The 21,053-nt window shown below is 41.4% G+C and overlaps 1 protein-coding gene across 17 annotated transcripts in view, besides 2 other annotated features; it reads right to left on the bottom strand.

The window, feature by feature from the left end:
* The window catches only part of ANKS1B (ankyrin repeat and sterile alpha motif domain containing 1B), a 1,250,151-nt gene extending 1,246,752 nt beyond the window's left edge, over positions 1 to 3,399 (bottom strand). For 13 of the 17 annotated variants that reach the window (XM_006719514.5, XM_006719507.5, XM_005269029.6 and 10 more), the window contains exon 1: positions 2,567 to 3,399. In XM_006719514.5, the coding sequence (XP_006719577.1) occupies positions 2,567 to 2,700 (134 nt within the window). In that variant the 5' untranslated portion in view covers positions 2,701 to 3,399. The remainder of the gene's footprint in view (positions 1 to 2,566) is intronic. The other 4 variants (NM_152788.4, NM_001352185.1, NM_001352187.1 and 1 more) reach the window with 1 other exon arrangement.
* Positions 2,429 to 3,259: an enhancer, noted in NCBI's record as "H3K4me1 hESC enhancer chr12:100377744-100378574 (GRCh37/hg19 assembly coordinates)". NCBI's record gives its function as "activates a minimal SCP1, AML or CMV promoter by ChIP-STARR-seq in naive H9 embryonic stem cells {active_cell/tissue: H9 hESC(naive)}" and the evidence as "EXISTENCE:reporter gene assay evidence [ECO:0000049][PMID:30033119]".
* Positions 3,372 to 3,421: a silencer, noted in NCBI's record as "silent region_4760". NCBI's record gives its function as "represses an Ori minimal core promoter by ATAC-STARR-seq in GM12878 lymphoblastoid cells {active_cell/tissue: GM12878}" and the evidence as "EXISTENCE:reporter gene assay evidence [ECO:0000049][PMID:35858748]".

Raw genomic sequence — 21,053 nt, forward strand, 5'->3', positions numbered from 1 at the left:
TTGGCCTGTCTAAATTGGCCACATACCTTTAAACTTTTGTGAATAAAACAGATTCAATGAATGAGACTTAAAATGTTGTAAAACAAATCTGAATCACAGATTTTCAAATCTTTGCCATTATTAATTAAGTGACCATGGGCAAGTCCTTAATCTTATCTTTTTATTCCTTCATCTGTGAAATGACAATGGACCTCCTAAGGCTGACACAAGAATTGAATGAGATGACACGTGTAAGCACTTAGCATAGGGTCTGACACCATTATTACACAACCCAGGTAATAAAGCAAGCGGGGAAAAAGTGCCAAACATATTCTACAGTTCCTTCTAAAACATTAAGAAATTTCAAAGTGTCATTATGTTTGACGGGGGACACATTTTCCATTATCCTGCCAATAAATTTCTGATGACAATCATTTTTGAAATAAAGTGACAACTAAATAAAATGTGCCTTCTTAGGAATGTCATTTTATGCAAATGATTGCCCAAAGAATACAATTTCAACTCTCATTTTCTTCAGACACTATTCAGTATAAGATGGATAAAAGCAAGTTTAAAGGTTATTGGTTTTGTTTGTGATTTTTACAACTTGGTTCGAAGTACTCTAATAAACACATGTTGTTTACTTTTGTTTTCTATGTGCAATCTTTGTTGTAGAGCTACTACTACTACTACTACACCAGCAAAAGAGAAAACCTCTCACTCAAGATATACACTGTGGGTCACTATTTTGATACTTTAGTGTCCACTAACATTAAATACTTGGTGTTTTATCCCTAAAACTTGACATCTATTCTTTAAAAAAAAAAAAAAAAATCACAGCTGGGAAAGGAGTATTTAAAGGATGTTTGCTTTTGAGTTTTGTCACAAGGAGTGTTTTTAAAATACGATTTATCACAATAAAATTAAGTGAAATTCTCACTGTTCTCAAATAATTCCTCATGTTTTCCCGAAGAAATTGTTTATTTTGAGAAAATTCTTTCAGCATACCAGTTTTTAGACATAATCATTTTTATAACTGATGGATCCACAGCAAACGTTGTTATTTTACGTGTAACTTAAAACTGTAAAGAGATAAATTGCTTTCACATAAACTACATGTGACTACAGGCAATTATTAGAGCTGCAATCTGAAATATGCACACATTGTCTACCTGTGTTTGAAAGAGAAGATTATTTAACAAGGGAGTACACACAAGTCATCTCTATGACCTATTGAAAAAATGTCCCATAAATATTCATTCTTCTGACATGAACTATCATTCCAATAAAATGTCACTGTCAACGAGTATATAGAATAACATATGGGGCTTTTTAAAATCCCATCGACTATTTTTCAACTCAATTTATTTCACTGTAATAGAAACTTTCCATTTTCCCTTTTAGCTAGCCCTATAATTAATTGCACTGTCTGACCACCACAACCTATGAGAACTTGTGTAAAGAACGCAATGTCATCACCCAAAAGTTTCTATTAAGCACTTGTCAAGGGTAGCATGGAACAGTTTTTAAAAAACCAGGGAAATCACTTGGGCTTTCTAAAATTTTTACAACTATAGTTGGGTTATCCAAGAGATGTTTTAAGGCGAAGATATGAATGACAATTGATGACTCCAAAAATACCCAGGATAAATTGGATAGCCACGATTTTAGAAACTAAAGAGCTTCCCTTGAATTGTATCTAGTGAATACTCTCCAGGCTTCCTCCCTCCCAGTTGATTTCATTTGTCCATCAATACAACTTTTAATAGTTTCTCAAGTATGGAAATCAACCCCGCTATTTCCAAGGTACTGCTGAATGAAGACCTTGACATTTTTTTTAAATGTCATCTTAGAAAGATTCTCCAAGCAATACCAGTCTCACCTACGACATCTTCACGTTAAAAGGCCTCTACCGTACTCCATATACAGTATCCCAATACCAACCTGGCATCCTTCATCCTGAGCTATAACAACCAAGTTTCACTCAGCTATGTCCAGGTAACTGAAAGTATTGCTGGGGCTGCCTAACCTGCCCCATCAAGTTTTATACACACCCTGTGCTGAAGACATCTCACCAGAAAGAAGGTTCACTCACTTCATTTTGTGGGATCATAACCCACGGCACAGCAAACGCCTTCTGCAAGAGAAGGTAGGAGCCACCGAAGGCTGTGGCTTTTGCAGGGTAATTGCATGCACGCAAGAGATTCTCTGCCAATTTCATTTAACTAGACAAAAAAGGCTGCGTTCAAAGCTGCAAATATGTAATAAATGTTGATGGAAAGCGGGCGGAACGTCGATTTTCTTCAAGCAACACTAGTACATGTACAAGTTCTGCACCAGGGCTCAGAGGAAAAGTAGCTTACTGACGCATTGATGGAAGGCTATTTTAAAATTACTCAAAGAATCTAAGGCATCAATCTGACTGGGAGGCTCATACCTCCTCTCCATACACGCAGTCTGTTTTCCTACCTAATTTAAGAATGAATCGCTGGCAGCCACCAGGTGCAATAACCGTGAGGAGGAGGACGTATATCCATCACAATGCATAATGAGGTGTGCCAACCCCGGAGCTGGTGCCCGTCCTTACCTTAGCAGATTAGACAGGGGCAGGGGTCCGGATCCACCGCCCAGGATCCCTCCTTTCCTGCCAGACAGGAGTTTCTCCACCAGAGCCACATTTCCAGTGCGAGCAGCTTCCAGCAGCTCCTGGTCCTTCCCCATAGTCTCTCACCGACTCCCCCACAGAGTCCTTGCCCCCCTCGGGTCCTCCTCCCCACCCACCCCCACTCCCCAAAATCCAGGGCCCTCTTCGCCCCACCCTAAAATAATGCAAGAGCTTCAGCACGGAGAGCTCCCTGCAGCCCCAGGCAGGGAGCACGACTCTCTCCTCCTCTTCGGGGCGCAGCTTTTACAATGGGGATCAGACCATGTCTTGAAAGAGGGGCTGGCCGAGCTGGGAGCCGCGACGCGCCCCCACAGCCACTCCCCTGAATTCCCAAGGCCTCGTTCCCGCGGGTGCGGCGTGAGGGGGTGGGGACTCGGGGGTGCTTTTGAGGAGCGGGAGGAGGGTGGTGAGGACTGAGGTCGGAGGAGGAGGAGGAGGCGGCAGAGAGAGTCCTAGCTGGAGCGGGAGCGCAGGGAACACCCGCGGTGGCAGCAGCGGCCCGCGCGCCCTCGCGCCCGACCCGGGCTCGCCTCGGCTTCCTCGGCGGTTACGCGGGGGCGGCGTCCGCGGCGGGGAGGAGCGCGGCGGCGGCGGCGGCGGCTCGTGCGCTGTGGCCCGCGCCGAGGCAGGGCGGTGGGGGGCAGCCGCAGCGGGCGCGTGCCGAGGGCGGCGGCGGCGGCGAGGCCTGGCGCGCGGGGGGCGTGTGCGCGCGGGCAGGTGCGGCCCCTGGTGCGGCCCGAGTTGGGTGGCGGGCTGGCGGGGAGGGGCCGGGCCGGCTGAGGCGGGGCTTCGGCCCTGAGATTCTCTTCGTTCTCGTGGGCGGGGACCCTCCCTCCTCCACTCTCCTTGGAAGAGCGTTAACCGTGTGAGGACTGGAGTTCCCCGGGCCGCGTCGGCTCCTCCTCGGCCCGGCGGGCCCCGGCAACACGCCTCGGGTCTGTCACGACGCCTGAGGAAAATCCTCCGTGACAGGAATGGGGAGGCTGGTGACACTGGGGAGGGGCCCTTTGGCCACCGCTTCCATCAGAGTCTAGGCAACTTGACCGGCATTTCACCCTTCCGCTTTACCTCCCCAAGAGAGCCTGAGATCTGCCCTTGGTTAGAAAGAAGAGGCTCGTTTCGTCCTAGTTTCTGTGGCACTGGCCACCGAGCAGTTTGCGACTGTTTCAGTTTTTCTGGAGTCTTTAATCAGCCCATATTTTAGTTGGGCTTTGGAGATCTGCTGACTTGTAAGAATACCAGGAAAAAGGCTCTCATTGAAAATTTATCCACATCTACACTCGAAAAATATAAATGGGCATGGATTAGAGATCCACTTTAATTTGCATATATCATCAGCAATTCATTGTGCATGGTTGGCATGACTTGTTAGATGCTCTCCTTGGCCGTGGTGGAGAACGCGCGTTTATTTTCTATTAAAACTTCCTGTTACACCTTGTGCTTTGCATTGTCCTTGGAATAGACTTCATAAATGTTCACTTGTTGATAATTGATTGGTAAGAAGAGGACTTAATAGGCACTGTGCTTACAACAACCCAGTGAACTGGATATTATTATATCCATTTTAGAAATGAGGAAATAGGGCTCAAATGGTTAATTAAATTTCTCAAGATGCCACATGGAGTAAGTGGCTGACTCAGAACTAGACCCCAGAACAGACTCACTCCAGACACCATGTGCTTCCCAATATACGTTCCTGCCCCCCATGGAAAAGCGAAATGGACAGACAATAATTATTGCATGCATTTGATGAGTAGTTGCTACATACCAGACACTATGCTAAGTGCTTTCCATGTTCTCATTAAGCCTTGCAACAATCGCATGAGATAGGACCATTTTCATCTCTATTTTGGAGATGAAGAAACTGATTACCCGCAAGATAATAGGGATAGAAAGTAACTGAGCCAAGGCTCAAATCCGGCACTGTCTGCTGTAGGCAAAGATTTTCAATAAATAACTGGGGGAAACTTAAAAGGCATTTAGAGATAAATAACAAGAGTATATTAAAACATTTTTATGGAATTCATTGTGTTCTGAGATTTCATTTCAATGATTCAAAATATTAGGTAAATTATGGCTATTTATTGGAGGTTTCCTGAAGTATGTAGATTTTGGCTAGTGTAGTTTTTTAATTCATTTTGATTTTGTTTTCTGTGTTAGAATCTGTTTTAATAAGATAATCTATGTTATAATAATATAATCCCTGACATAATGGGACTAGCAGACCAATGAAAGAAACGAGATAAGGAGCCATCACATTCATTTTGAAAATGGCATAGGGAAATCCTTCTTCCTTTTTCCTAATGTTGCCACCTAAGCAAAACACACCTTTCCCAGAATATACTGTAAGTATTCAATTGGTCAGAACTGAAAATCACCCACAGTTTTCACAAGCAACATTTAATCATGGATGAGTTGGTGACCGCAGGCCCCGAGTCATCTTATCGAAATCATGCAGCCCCCACCCCCAATGGGAAAACCATTAGTAATGATTTACTCTAAGAATCAGTTCCACAGTTCGGGCATTCTACTGACATATGATAATCAAAGCCAATTTTTCAGCTTCAAACTCTTTGGTTTTAGTGACCTCATAACTTTGTTTTTCTGTAGACATTGCAGTGACTGCACCTCATAGTTTTTTGTTGAAGAGGATAAAGGCTTTGGCTACATGGGGACTAACATGCAAAATAAAAGTGAAAACATTCTTTTAAAAATCTACAGAGGCCAAAATAAATATCCAGATCTTTTAAACATCCAGATTTCATCAAGATGTTTTGCATCTGTGAATAGTGAAAAGAGTGATAGAATCTTGGGAACCAATTAGACAATCTCTATCTCAGTGTGTGCATAAGTAAAATGAAGAAGTTATGTCGGATGCCTTCCACTGGCCTTGCCAGCCATAATATTCTATGCCTGTGATGAAACGTGGTCTTAGTCCATTAAGTCATTTGCATCACTGAAGCTAGAAATTAAGTATGGAGATAGATTTGAGATTTCTATTCTGTTTTTATTTGATTTGATTTTCTGAGACAGAGTCTGACTCTGTTGCCAAGACTGGAGTGCAGTGGCACGATCTCAGCTCACTGCAACCTCTGCTCCCAGGTTCAAGTGATTCTCAAGCCTCAGCCTCCCCAGTAGCTGAGATTAGAGGCGCCCACCACCACGCCCGGCTAATTTTTGTATTTTTAGTAGAGACAGGATTTCACTATGTTGGTCAGGCTGGTCTCAAACTCCTGACCTCAAGTGATCCACCTGCCTCGGCCACCCTCTATTTTGTTTTTAATTATAAAATAAATATATATTTTTTCGGGTTTTTAAATCTATCTTTGCTATTCTCAATGGACAGTATTAATAATAGCAAATGTAGGCCGGGCATGGTGGCTCATGCCAGTAATCCCAGCACTTTTGGGAGGCCAAGGTGGGTGGATCATGAGGTCAGGAGATCGAGACCATCCTGGCTAACATGGAGAAACCCCATTTCTACTAAAAATACTAAAAATTAGCCGGGCATGGTGGCGGGCACCTGTAGTCCCAGCTACTCGGGAGGCTGAGCCAGGAGAATGGCGTAAGCCCAGGAGGTGGAGCTTGCAGTGAGTGGAGATCGCGCCACTGCACTTCAGCCTGGGCGACAGAGCAAGACTCTGTCTCAAAAATAAATAAATAAATAAAATAAAATAAAATAATAATAATAGTACATGTGTATTTTGTGCCAGGAATGATACTATACCCTTTACTTTCTCTCATTTTATTTAATTCTGAAGTAACACTGTAAGAAGATATTATAAGTCCTGCAGAATCTCTGAATCCCTTATATTTCAAATTCTGATATAAATCTACTTCTGGATACTTTTTGGCAAGAATTATTGCTCTAATATACACATACTGCAAGTCACTCTTCTAGGAGTTGATTAATAAAAGAAGGGACTAGGGGTTGAGATTAGAAGGGGGAAGTGAAGCAAATACCAGTTTTTGTATAGAAGTGTTTGCACACACACACAAAACTCTTTGGAAACATTAAAGAAATTGAAGGACCATGAATCCAGACCAATCTTAGAATTATATACCAAGGTCTGTTTTCAGTGAAGAAGAGAAAAAGATAATATCTTATAACATGAAGTTATCAACAGAGCTGAAATAAGAAGATAACCCTGTGATTTATGAAGTAGATTTACTTTCTCCATCTCAAGTTCTGAAGTTACTCTGCATCACTAGAACTATGAAGTCAACAGCTTCAGGTTACAGAATGTGAAAATACTAGACATCTGGATAGAAGAGCAGGTTCTTGCTTCCTGCATGACATTAAAGTTCTTCTCCACATGGCCACATGGCACAAACTCTGTCCCTCATCATCTTCCTGAGGGAACCCAAACACCAAGTGTATTATATTTACAATTTTTCTGAAGATTCATGGCCATGAATGTTGAAGGCCACAGAACACCAATCACCCATCTTCTCCAAGTTATAATTAGCTGAACGCAGACACAAGGAATCAAAGAGTATCTCATTAGCATATCATCTTTATTACGAGTCATATAAGGGTCTAATATCCCACAAAATCCCTGCTAAAACTACACTAAAAATGAGACGAGGGCCTACCTCTCTGTGAATGTGCACCTTGGGACCTACCTGTGGGGAAAGGTAGATCTGCAAATCTAAATGTATATACCCAGCCAGACTAATGCCTATCTCACAGATAAAGTCAGAGGAATGGAGAGAATGATCAGTTTCCAGGGCTGCCTTTGGAAAGCATGCCGAAACAGATTCTTACCCCAGAATCTCACCATCTTGGGACAGCAAGCAGAATAAAGCCCACTACCCTTCTTAGTGATCCATGAGACAGGCAAGAGAGAAAGAAAACCAGAGCTGAGCCTGTATCTTGTTTTGAAAGCAAGGTAGCCCCACCCACTAGTAAAGTGGTCCCAATGGATAGAAGTAGGGAAAGAAACCAGAAGTGTTCACTGTCTTAGAAAGAGGAGCAGAGCCTCCTCTCCTCTAGGGAAAGTCAGTGATGAGGAATAAGAGTTCCCCCAGGACCGTCACACTACACAACATTCCATCACCATCCTGCTGATTCTACCATTAACTCTCTCCGAGCCACCCTGCCTATGTGCTACTACCTTTGAAAGCCTATGTGCCCCACAGGTGACCCTGCACCTGGCCAGCTGAAAAAATATAGTCTTGTATCCACTTCAAACTATTTTCCCACCAAGAGAATCTACCCAAAATTCAGATAAATGATTTTTCACCATTTCTTTTTATTTCCCCACTGAGGAAAATACCTAGCATCCTGACAAACCTATTACACAGTCTCTCAGAGGGGCCGCTAAGAAGACACACAAACACATTATCCATTTTTGGCATCTTAACTGATCTCCCTGAAAGGCTAATCCCAATCTACCTCCTTCTTAGACTCCATCCTTTCCTTCTTCTGCGCAGTGATCCACAAACTTTTTCGTAAAAGGCCAGAGAGTAAATATTTTCATCTTTGTGGGCACACAGTCTCTATTGTACTACTAAATTCTGCCATTGTAGCATAAAAGTAGCCATAGACAATACTGAAACAAATTAGTGTGGCTGTGATCCAATAAAATGTCATTTATGGATATTGAAATTTGATTTGCAAAATTTTCATAGGTTACAAAATATTCTTTTGACTTATTTTCCAACAATTTTTAGAAAGCAAAATCCATTCTTAGTTCACTGGCCATACAGACTGTGGGTGGGATTTGACCCACGAGCCATAAGCCTACAGATTGAAGAGTGACGTATTCCAAAGCCCTTTTGGGGATACTGCTTTCTCCCTTGGTCTGATTGTTTAGACATGGGGGCAGGGGGCAGAATCAAATTGTTCCCCTTAAGGCATCTCTTCCACCCCAGCCTCAGCAGACAGAGAACCTCCCCATCAGCAAATCCTCTCTAACTCTCCTATATCTCAAGAAAGACCCTTAGGCCAGGTGCAGTGGCTCACGCCTATAATCCTAGCACTCTGGGAGACCAAGGCGGGCAGATCACCTGAGGTCAGGAGTTCGAGACCAGCCTGACCAACATAGTGAAACCCCGTCTCTACTCAAAATACAAAAATTAGCTAGGTATGGTGACATGCACCTGGAGTCCCAGCTACTTGGGAGACCAAGGCAGGAGAATCACTTGAACCCGGGAGGCAGAGGTTGCAGTGAGCCATGATCATGCCACTGCACTCCAGCCTGGGTGACAGAGCGAGACTCCGTCTCAAAACAAAACAAAACAAAACAAAACAAAACAACAAAACAACGCAACAACAACAAAAAACCCTTTCTTGGGGTCTCTATCATGGTCACATTACTGAGACTTTTGTATTGTATTATACTGGTGTGCCCTTCTTTACCATGAACAGATTGGAGAAGGGGCCCCCGCTGAGCTGAAACTCAACCTATGAGGAGAGGGATGATGATGATTCCTGACATCAGACAAGGGGCCCCACAGGACTAAGACCCAGACCTCTTAGGAGGAATCACCGGCTGCTTGGTACTAGTGTCTCTGAGGCAAAGCAACAACGCTGGTTCTGCATATTAGAAAAACTGCAAACTGGATTCAACCGCTGCTTCTGGAACAAACTGCCACTGCCATGTTGAAGAAGTGCAGTCTCCCTCTCGCATCTTTTATTGGTAGATCCTCACAGAGGACAAGGTGGCAAAGCAGTAATATGGTTTGCAGGTTATTATAAAACAGAGTGATGAGAATGGGCTTAAAGTTAAGAGGCAGCAGTGCAATAAAAGGCATAAAGCCCCCTTTAAAATCAGGTTAAACCAGCTGCATTTCTTGCTACCATCATCACTAAACTTCACAACCAGTGTTTTACTCACAACTTCTGAGAATTCTTGATTTCCTGTCTCCACTCCTAAGGCTCCTGGTCTTCTGTCTCCACTCCTACAACTCATGGAACTCTTGGATTCTGTCTCCTGCTCTGGCCCAGTAAATAACTCTAACCAGTACTTGGTTCCATGAAAAACCCGATCATTTTCTAAAAATCTGAAGAGTGACACACTGAATAGGAAAAACTCAAACTGTTTCTCCTCTGCTCTCACACCACAACAATCAACACCAAAGACATCTGTGACCAAATGTGTGGAGATTTGCCTCCATCAGTAAGCAAGCAATCAGTTCTGGAGCGGACACCAACTGGGTGTCCTCTAATTCAATTCAATTCTGACACCATCTACCTAGAGATAGTGTCAGATCCCACAGGTTGAGGGCTCTGTCCCCAAGGCTGCTCCCCTCTTTGGATGCCAGTCACAAGGCCCCAGTTGTTTTGTCTGTGCTTCTGACCCACCTACTGACTACATATCAGTGATACCACCCCTCCTTGGGTTCAACTAATTTGGTAGAGCAGGTCAATTAATTGGCTGGAGTGGCTCACAGAACTCAGAGAAACACCTCCATTTTCCCGTTTATTATAAAAGATATCACAAAGGATACAGATGAAGAGATGCGTAGGGTGAGGTATGGGAGAAGGGGAAAGGCGCTTCCATGACCTCCCTCCCGGGGTGCATCACCCTCGAGGAACCTCCATGTGTCCAGCTATCTGGAAACTCTCTGTGCCCTGTCCTCTTGGGTCTTTTATGGAGATCTCATTGGATAAGCATGACTGAAGCATAAACAACTGCACAGAAGTGATTGGACAAACAGGATATAATCTAATACTATTAGACTGATTGGAGAAACACAGCAGGGCCTGTTCAGATTCTTCTTGGCCACTCTGCACAGCAGTCCTTCCTCCTGGGTATGGGGCAGGACCTCTTATCAAATGCGGTCATATGACCTTCAATCAGTTTTACTGGAGAGTTTCTTTATGGAAAGACAGGGGGAAATTAGATTACTGCCTTGGGGAGAAAAAGGAGCAGGTGACAGGAGGGCAGGAGAAGCTCATAGAGAGAGATTCTGTTTGCTAAGGCCTATTTCTGAGGCCTAAAGCACCCCGACATTATAAAAAAAGATTTTAACAAGGGCTTTGGGAATTATGAGCCAGGAACATGAATGAAAAAATATATGTGTGTGTGTGTTATATTGTATAGATATCTTACATTGTTTCTCAAAGAATTTCACCAACCCAACCACCTGCTAAGACTCATTCGTCTCCAGAGCTGTCTTCATCACCCTCTGCCTCTGCCCAAAGGCTCCTGAGTCCAGCAGTTGACTTTCCCTCCCAACAGAGATTCCCTGAGAATTATAGCCCAGTGGTAGCCCAACATGTTCCAAATGTTTTTCTGGGCAGCATTGTCTTTGGATTTTGATAAATAAAATTTTTATTATTTTATTACATCTGCAGAAAGGAATATATAGGCATCTCCTTGAAACTTCGAAAGAGATTGGTTAAAAGCAGTCTATGTACAACGTACCAGAATCTCTGGAACACATTTAAAGAAGTGTGTACAGGGAAATTTATAGCACTAAATGCCCACAAAAGAAAGCAGTAAAGTTCTAAAATTGACACCCTAACATCACAATTAAAAGAACTAGAGAAGCAAGAGCAAACACATTCAAAAGCTAGCAGAAGGCAAGAAATAACTAAGATCAGAGCAGAACTGAAAGAGATAGAGACACAAAAAACCCTTCAAAAAATCAATGAATCCAGGAGCTGCTTTTTTGAAAAGATCAACAAAATGGATAGACCGCTAGCAAGACTAATAACGAAGAAAAGAGAGAAGGATCAAATAGACGCAATAAAAAATGATAAAGGGGACATCACCACCGATCCCACAGAAATACAAACTACCGTCAGAGAATACTACAAACACCTCTACACAAACAAACTAGAAAATCTAGAAGAAATGGATAAATTCCTGGACACATACACCCTCCCAAGACTAAACCAGGAAGAAGTTGAATCCCTGAATACACCAATAACAGGCTCTGAAATTGAGGCAATAATTAATAGCCTACTAACCAAAAAAAGTCCAGGACCAGATGGATTCACAGCCAAATTCTACCAGAGGTACAAAAAGGAGTTGGTACCATTCCTTCTGAAACTATTCCAATCAATAGAAAAAGAGGGAATCCTCCCTAACTCATTTTATGAGGCCAACATCATCCTGATACCAAAGCCTGGCAGAGACACAACATAAAAAAGAGAATTTTTGACCAATATCCCTGATGAACATCGATGCAGAAATCCTCAATAAAATACTGGCAAACCAAATCCAGCAGCACATCAAAAAGCTTATCCACCACAGTCAAGTTGGCTTCATCCCTGGGATGCAAGGCTGGTTCAACATACACAAATCAATAAACGCAATCCATCACATAAACAGAACCAATGACAAAAACCACATGATTATCTCAATAGATGCAGAAAAGGCCTTTGACAAAATTCAACAGCCTTCATGCTAAAAACTCTCAATAAACTAGGTATTGATAGAACATATCTCAAAATAATAAGAGCTATTTATGACAAACCCACAGCCAATATCATACAGAATGGGCAAAACTGGAAGCATTCCCTTTGAAAACCAGCACAAGAGAAGGATAGGATGCCCTCTCTCACCACTCCTATTCAACATAGTGTTGGAAGTTCTGGCTGGGACAATCAGGTAAGAGAAAGAAATAAATGGTATTCAATTAGGAAATGAGGAAGTCAAATTATCTGTTTACAGGTGACATGATTGTATATTTAGAAAACCTCATTGTCTCAGCTTAAAATCTCCTTAAGCTGATTAGCAAGTTCAGCAAACTCTCAGGATACAAAACCAATGTGCAAAAATCACAAGCATTCCTATACACCATTAACAGACAAACAGAAAGCCAAATCATGAGTGAACTCCCATTCATAATTGCTACACAGAGAATAAAATACCAAGGAACACAACTTACAAGGGATGTGAAAGACCTCTTCAAGGAGAACTACAAACCACTGCTCAACAAAATAAAAGAGGACACAAACAAATGGAAGAATATTACATGCTCATGGATAAGAAGAATTAATATCGTGAAAATGGCCATACTGCCCAAAGTAATTTATAGATTCAATGCCATCCCCACCAAGCTACCACTGACTTTCTTCACAGAATTGGAAAAAACTACTTTAAAGTTCATATGGAACCAAAAAAAGAGCCCGCATAGCCAAGACAATCCTAAGCAAAAAGAACAAAGCTGGAGGCATCATGCTATCTGACTTCAAACTATACTACAAGGCTACAGTAACCAAAACAGCATGGTACTGGTACCAAAACAGATATATAGACCAATGGAACAGAACAGAAGCCTCAGAAATAACACCACACATCTACAACCATCTGATCTTTGACAAACCTGAGAAAAACAAGCAATGGGGAAAGGATTCCCTATTTAATAAATGGTGATGGGAAAACTGGCTAGCCATATGTAGAAAGCTGAAACTGGATCCCTTCCTTACACCGTATACAAAAATTAACTCAAGAAGGATTCAGGACTTAAACATAAGACCTAACACCATAAAAACCCTAGAAGAAAACCTAGGCAATACCACTAAGAATATAAGCATGGGCAAAGACTTCATGACTAATACAACCAAAACCAATGGCAACAGAAACCAAAATAGACAAATGGGATCTAATTAAACTAAAGAGCTTCTGCACAGCAAAAGAAGCTATCATCAGAGTGAACAGGCAACCTACAAAATGGGAGAAAAATCTTTGCAATCTACCCGTCTGACAAATGGCTAATATCCAGAATCTATGAAGAACTTAAACAAATTTACAAGAAAAAATCAAACAACCCCATCAAAAAGTGGACAAAGGATATGAACAGACACTTCTCAAAAGAAGACGTTTATGCAGCCAAAAGACACATGAAAAAAAATGCGCATCATCACTGGTCATCAGAGAAATGCAAATCAAAACCACAATGAGATACTGTCTCACGCCAATTAGAATAGTGATCATTAAAAAGTCAGGAAACAACAGATGCTGGAGAGGATGTGGAGAAATAGGAATGCTTTTGCACTGTTGGTGGGAATGTAAATTAGTTCAACCATTGTGGAAGACAGTGTGGCAATTCCTCAAGGATCTAGAACTAGAAATATCATTTGACCCAGCGATCCCATTACTGGGTATATACCCAAAGGATTATAAATCATGCTACTTTAAAGACACATGCATGCATATGTTTATTGTGGCACCATTCACAATAACAAAGACTTGGAACCAACCCAAATGTCCATCAATGATAGACTGGATTAAGAAAATGTGGCACATATACACCATGGAATACTATGCAGCCATAAAAAAGGATGAGTTAATGTCCTTTGCAGGAACATGGATGAAGCTGGAAACCATCATTCTCAGCAAACTATCACAAGGACAGAAAACCAGACACCGCATGTTCTCACCCATAGGTGGGAGTTGAACAACGAGAACACATGGACACAGGGCAGGGAACATCACACACTGGGGCCTGTCAGGGGGTTGGGTGTGGGGGACGGATAGCATTATGAGAAATACCTACTGTAAATGACGAGTTGATGAGTGCAGCAAATCAACATGGCACATGGGTACCTATGTATCAAACCTGCAGGTTGTACACATGTACCCTAGAACTTAAAGTATAATAATAATAAAAAAAGAAAGCAACAACAACAACAACAACAAAAACCCCTCTTTAGGTGATCAAGTTCACAGAGAATAACAGCCAAAGCTTATCTGAAAGCTTTGATTGTGCCAGATATTTCACATGGATCATTTCATTTAATCCCCACAAGCTCTTGAGGCATAAGCTTTTTTTTTTTTTTTTTTTTTTTTAGACAGAGTCTCTCTCTGTCACCCAGGCTGGAGTGCAGTGGCGCCATCTTGGCTCACTGCAACCTCCATCTCCTAGGTTCAAGCGATTCTCCTGTCTCGGCCTCCTGAGTAGCTGGGATTACAGGCATGCACCACCACACCTGGCTAATTTTGTATTTTTAGTAGAGACGGGGTTTCACCATGTTGGCCAGGTTGGTCTCGAACCCCTGATCTCAGCTGATCTGCCTGCCTCAGCTTCTTAAAGTGCCGGGATTACAGGCATGAGCCACTAAGCCCGGCCATATGCATTTTTAAAAAGGATCTCCCCTCCGTGTACTTTAGAAACTTTACTTTAGGGATTCTAACCTTGGGCAAACAATAGGTCACATATTTGACACATTCTGCCCCTTGCAGAATAGCTTTCACTGAATTTGCATTGTAATGCCAAGACCTTTGCTTTCATCAGTGGCTATTCAACGTGTTATCATATGGGATGTAGGAATGTTCCTGGAAACTTTGTCTATTACTCATTTAATGAATTCTATATTAACACCACATTTATAAAGAAAATGTATTAGGAGGTACCTCTAAGGTAGCAAAACTCTCCTAATAACTTTGTCTTTTATGATAATAATATCTAAGTAATTGACTATTTTTCTCTTCACTTTAACTCCCAGGAAATACCAAATTTAAGGTTTGGTGTATTTGTAATCTGCTTACATCCTGATCTTTACTCTTTATTTTACATATTTTTGCCTGATTTTTATTGATATTTACCAGTATTTTATTTGATATGTCTTTGTTATAAGAGATATTTGTGTATATGTATCTTTGAACTTGCTGTATGCCACATAAGGCTCCAGATCATAGAATGAAGAGTAAAAACAGTATCTGGTCTCATGGAGCTTCAATCAAAAGTGATAAAAATGCCAGGAATCAGGAAAAGCTTAGTTTCTCTTTCAACAAGTACTCTAAGAAACAAACTTCTATAATCCTATTGCTTTGGGAGGCTGAAGTGAGAGGATCACTTGAGGCCAGGAGTTTGAGGCTGCAATGAATTATAATCACTACGGCACTACAGCTTGGGCAACAGAGTAAGGCCTTGGCTTTGGGGGGAAAAAAAGGAAAGAGGCAAACTACTTTGGCCTTAAGCATACAAAGAAGGTTTGAATTTCTTAATTTTTTTATTCATTCAACATTTATTAAGTTCCTGCTCTGTGCCAAGAAATTTGCTAGATATTGGTGATTCAGCAGTGAACAAGGCAAATATCACAGCTGTCGTGGAGTTCACATCGTATTCAGGAAAAGAGACATGGAACAAAGAAGAACAAATGTGATGTTACAGAGATGCCATAAGGACTATGGGGAAGAATGACAGGGACATTTAACAAGTCTGGGATACATGGAAGACCTGTCTCCAGAAGAGATATTTAAACAGGGAACTAAGAGATAAGTGGCAAAGGGAGGTAGGAGGTGGAGAAAGAGTGTTCTATGCAGACTGTTTGGGAAACACTCCACTTTCTCTTAAGAGGGCAATTGGGAATTATCCTCTCAGAACCAAATCCCCCATTTTACCATCTCATTCTTAATCTCTGCTTCTACCTTGTTTTGAATTTAAGTTTATTATTGTTACAGAATGTTCTTAATTTCAAAGTTACATAAAGTATTATAAAATGCTTTTTTTAGAAATAAACTTGCCTTTTCACGTGTATCAGGTGTCTGATTTCTATTTTAACTGATGTTTGCCCAATTCAAAGAAGCTTCTTTCATTCTTCATTGAAGAAAACCAAAATAAGTAGACCGTGGTTCATACTTTTAAAATGTCTACATATACTTTATGGATCAATGAATAGGAATGCGAATACATTCATCAAACAATTTGCCTGAAAACAAAGCAAAGCTAAATATGAAAAACTGAATAGTTAATTCTAACTATAATTATCCAACATACATATGCTTTTTAATTTTTTATACTAACAAAGAAACATGTGCAACTAATTACTTATTTGCCACAATCCAAAGTCCTCCCACCTACCATATTCATGGGCTGGATTCTTCCTGTTACCCAGCTGAGGCCCAAGCCTGCCAATATGGGGACCAAGCTGGACTTGATTTGCAGCCAACAACAGAAGGGGAGGAATTGTGAGATTTTTATGGGCTCTGTAGCTAACATCTGACTAAGTGTATGTGTCTTCTACGTTGGTACCTAAATGCTACCCACAGCACTCCTATCATTTTATTGCAAACTATGATTTTATAATAGAAAAAAACACTAGAATTGTGGTCATAAAACCTGGGTTTGGGCCAGGCATGGTGGCTCATGCCTATAATTCCAGTACTTTGAGAGGACAAAATAGGAGGATCACTTGATGCCAGGAGTTCAAAACCAGCCTGGACAATATACAGAGGCCCCATCTCTAGAAAAAATAAATTTAAAAAAATCAGCCAGGTTTGTGGCACATATGTGATATCTATAGTTCTAGATACTTGGGAGATGGAGGTGGGAGGGTCAGTTAGTTCCAGGAGTTTGAGGTTAAAAATGAGCTATGGCCTCACCACTGCATTCTAGACTAGGTGACAGAGCAAGATCCTGTCTCCCCGCTCCGCCAGAAAAGGACCTCAGTTTAAATCTCCGAAAATCTGTGTTTCAATCCTGGGGAACTTTACAGCTAAGAAAACTTGAAGAGCTGTAGGCAAGTGCCCAAGGGAGGAGTGTAATACACACTTTCACAGGTGTATTGCTTGACAGGACTGCCATAACAAAGTACCACATGCTAGGTGTCTTAAACGACAGAAATTTATTTCCTCACAGTTTTAGAGGCTAGAAGTCTAAGATCAAGGGGCTTAGCCTAGCAGGGTTAGTTTCTTCTGAGGCCTCTCTCCTTGGCTTAGAGATTATTGTCCCTCTATGAGTGTCTTTGTCTTAATTTCCTCTTTTTTTTTTTTTTTTTTTTTTTTTTTTTTTTTTTTTTTGAGACGGAGTCTCGCTCTGTCGCCCAGGCTGGAGTGCAGTGGCGGGATCTCGGCTCACTGCAAGCTCCGCCTCCCGGGTTCACGCCATTCTCCTGCCTCAGCCTCCCAAGTAGCTGGGACTACAGGCGCCCGCCACTACGCCCGGCTAATTTTTTGTATTTTTAGTAGAGACGGGGTTTCACCGTTTTAGCCGGGATGGTCTCGATCTCCTGACCTCGTGATCCGCCCGCCTCGGCCTCCCAAAGTGCTGGGATTACAGGCGTGAGCCACCGCGCCCGGCCAATTTCCTCTTTTTATATGGACACCAGTTGGATTGGATAAGACCCACCTCAATGATCTCATTTTAACTTAATTACCTCTTTAAAGACCCTATCTGCAAATACAGTTACATTCTGAAGTACTGGGTGATGAGCCTTCAACACATGAATTGTGGAGGGATACAATTTAGCCCATAACAAAAGGACTGATTGATAGTTTTGTAACAGCCCAATGGGTTCTTCTTGTCTGCTGCCCAGAAAAGCAGGTTTTGCAGCAAAGAAAGAGTTTAATAATTGCAGGGCCAGCCAAGCAAAAGACATTTATCAAATCCACTTCCCTGAAAGCTCAAAGCCTAGGATTTTTAAGAATAATTTGGTAGGCAGGGAGCTAGACAACGGGTCTACTGATTGGTTGGGGATGAAATTACAAGTGTTTAAAACAGTCTTTGGGACAGTTTCTGGGTGCGGGTAACAGGACTGGTTGAGTTCATTCCTTGGCATAAGTCACAGGTCGGGTGGAGTCACTTGGTTGCCAGAATGCAAAAGTCTGAAAAATATCTTAAAAACCAATCTTAGGTTTTGAAAATCATGTTGTTATCTATAGGAGCAATTGGGGAAGTTACAAATTTGTTGAGTAGTAAGTGATTATAGAAAAGCAAGCTAGGGAACAATGGATAGTTATCGTTTAAACCTACATCTTAGCAGAATTCAGGCCCCTCCCATAATCCTCACTTTGTGGCCTTTCATTAATCTTACACAGGTGGTTTTGGACTCCACGCAAGAAGGGGGTTAATTTCAGGAAGGGACTGTTATTATCTTTGTTTTAAAGTTAATAAAGGCAGTTATCCTGTGAGGTTAGAAGCAAGATAGAGTTAGGTCAGATTTCTCTTAATAATTGTTGCAAGAGCAGTTTCATTTAAGGATCAGTTTAAATGAGACAAGAAATGAAGACACTTGACTTTAGTTGATGTTTTTGTTTGTTTGTTTTGAGACACAGTCTTGCACTGTCACCAACACTGGAGTGCAATGGTGTGATCTCAGCTCAATGCAACCTCTACCTCCCAGGTTCAAGTGATTCTGCTGCCTCAGCCTCCCAAGTAGCTGGGATTACAGGCACCCACCACCACACCCAGTTAATTTTTTTTTTTTTTTTTGTATTTTTAGTAGAGACGGGGTTTCACTATGTTTGCCAGGCTGGTCTCGAACTCCTGACCTCATGATCAGGAGTTTAAACAACAGAAATGTATTATCTCACTGTTCTGTAGGTTGGAAGTCCAAGATTCAGGTGCCAACGAATTCAGTTTCTGGTGAAGGCTCTGTTCCTGGCTTGCAGACGGCTGCCTTCTCACTATGTCCTCACATTGCCTTTCCTGAGTGCATTTGGGTAGAGAGAGCAAGACAGCAAGCTATCTGGTGTCTCTTCTGATAAGGACACTAATCCTATTGAATTAGGGCCCCACCCTTATGACCTCATCTCACCTTCATTACTTCCTTATAGGCCCCATTTTAAAATACATTACTTTGGGGGTTAGGGCTTCAACATATGGATTTTGAGGGAGACACAATTCAGTTCATAGCACTAATGTTTTGGGATAAAGAACTAGCAGAGGAGTCGTGTTATAGGAACAAAGAGATTTATTGCATTTTCAATATTTCTTTAAGCTTACTTTATATTTCGATCTAAGAGGCAAAGTTTACTTCTTTCAAGACAGTCTTTGTAGAGTAAATGGTGTTTCAAAGGTCAGGTTTAGGGCAGGTGCAGTGGTTCAAACCTGTTATCCCAGCAGTTTGGGAGGCCCAGGCAGGAGGACTGCTTGAGCCTAGGAGTTCAAGACCGCCTGAGCAACATAGGGAGGCCCCATTTCTACAAATAATGTTTAAAAATTAGCTGGGTGTGGCAGTGTGCACCTGTGGTCTCAGCTACTCAGGAAGAAGCAGAAGGATTGCCTGAGCCTGGAAGATCAAGGCTGCAGTGAAAAAACAAACAAACAAACAAAACAAAGGTAGGTTTAACTACAAATTGATCTATGTTATATTTAGTTAAAAGGGAAAAAGGTATTTTTATATACAGCTCTAACAATTATTTTAAATCTTAAATGATTGTTACATTTCTTCTTAAATGACTGCTACTGCAATAGACTATTATCCCAGAAAACCATTTGTGAAATACATTATTGTTAGCAATGTGCTCATTTCCTTGTCAACAGAAATGTCATTCTTTTTTCTTTTAATTTTATTGTGCTTTTTTGGGGGGTTTTTTTTGTTTTTTGTTTGTTTTCTGACAGAGTCTCACTCTCGAATGCAGTGGTGCGTTCTCGGCTCACTGCAACCTCTGCCTCCCGGGTTCAACGGGTTCAAACGATGCTCCTGCCTCAGGCTCCCAAGTAGCTGGAACTACAGGCATGCACCACCACACTTGGCTAATTTTTGTATTTTGTGGTAGAGACAGGGTTTCACCATGTTGGCCAGGCTGGTCTCGAACTCCTGACCTCAAGTGATTAACCCACCTCAGCCTCTCAAAGTGCTGGGATTACAGGCATGAGCCACCACACCTGGCCAGAAGTGTCATTCTTTTAAACTGCTCCTAAAGTCACATGATTAGAAGTTTTGGCTCAGAATCAGAAATAAAAATGTAACTTTTTTCTAATAGTGGATGATGATGATAATGATAGTGGTGGCAATGATGATGAAAATAATAGCTCCTACAGATTTATTTTATTGACACATTTTTATCTCCTATATAAACTGTTCATTTTGGCAAATGTGCCATATTATTCAGAGTGACCTGTCCAGCACTTACCTGAAGGTTATGGTTATAATTTGTTGTATAGACAGTGTGCTCTCAAAATCAGCTGTATCTTTTTTGATTACTCACACGTTCCTGAATTTCTTATAGGCATGAGGTTAAGAGACAATTATAATGAATGGAGTTTTACTGGAAACTTTACTATTATGTTAAATTAATAATCCCACAATTCCTGGTCTATTACTCACATGAGGATAGCTATCAAATTATTTACAATATGATTGTGTATTTTGAAATATAATAACTGTACTGAACAAAGACAATCATGTTCCTAGAAAATGGATTGTTAGGCATTTTAAACTGATGCTCATTAGGGACAATTTACTTGCTGAATAGCAATCATTTTTTCTTTAAGAGAAACCACCTTGGGTTTTAATGTATACACCCTTAAAACCATTATCAAAGCATAATTTATATACCCTAAAATTTACTCATTTCGAGTATAAATTGTATGAGTTTTAGTAAATGTACAGAGTTCTGCAACTACCACCAGAATAAAGTTTTAGAACACTTTAATCACCCCCCAACATTCCCTTACGCCCCTTTCCAGTCATCCCCCACCCCCAGCTGCAAGGCAAGCACTTACCTCCTCTCTGTTACACTTTTGCCTTTCACAGAATTTCAAATTCATATTTTATATGTCT

The sequence above is a fragment of the Homo sapiens genome, chromosome 12 (genome assembly GCF_000001405.40).
Source record: "Homo sapiens chromosome 12, GRCh38.p14 Primary Assembly".
Taxonomy (NCBI): Eukaryota; Metazoa; Chordata; class Mammalia; order Primates; family Hominidae; genus Homo; species Homo sapiens.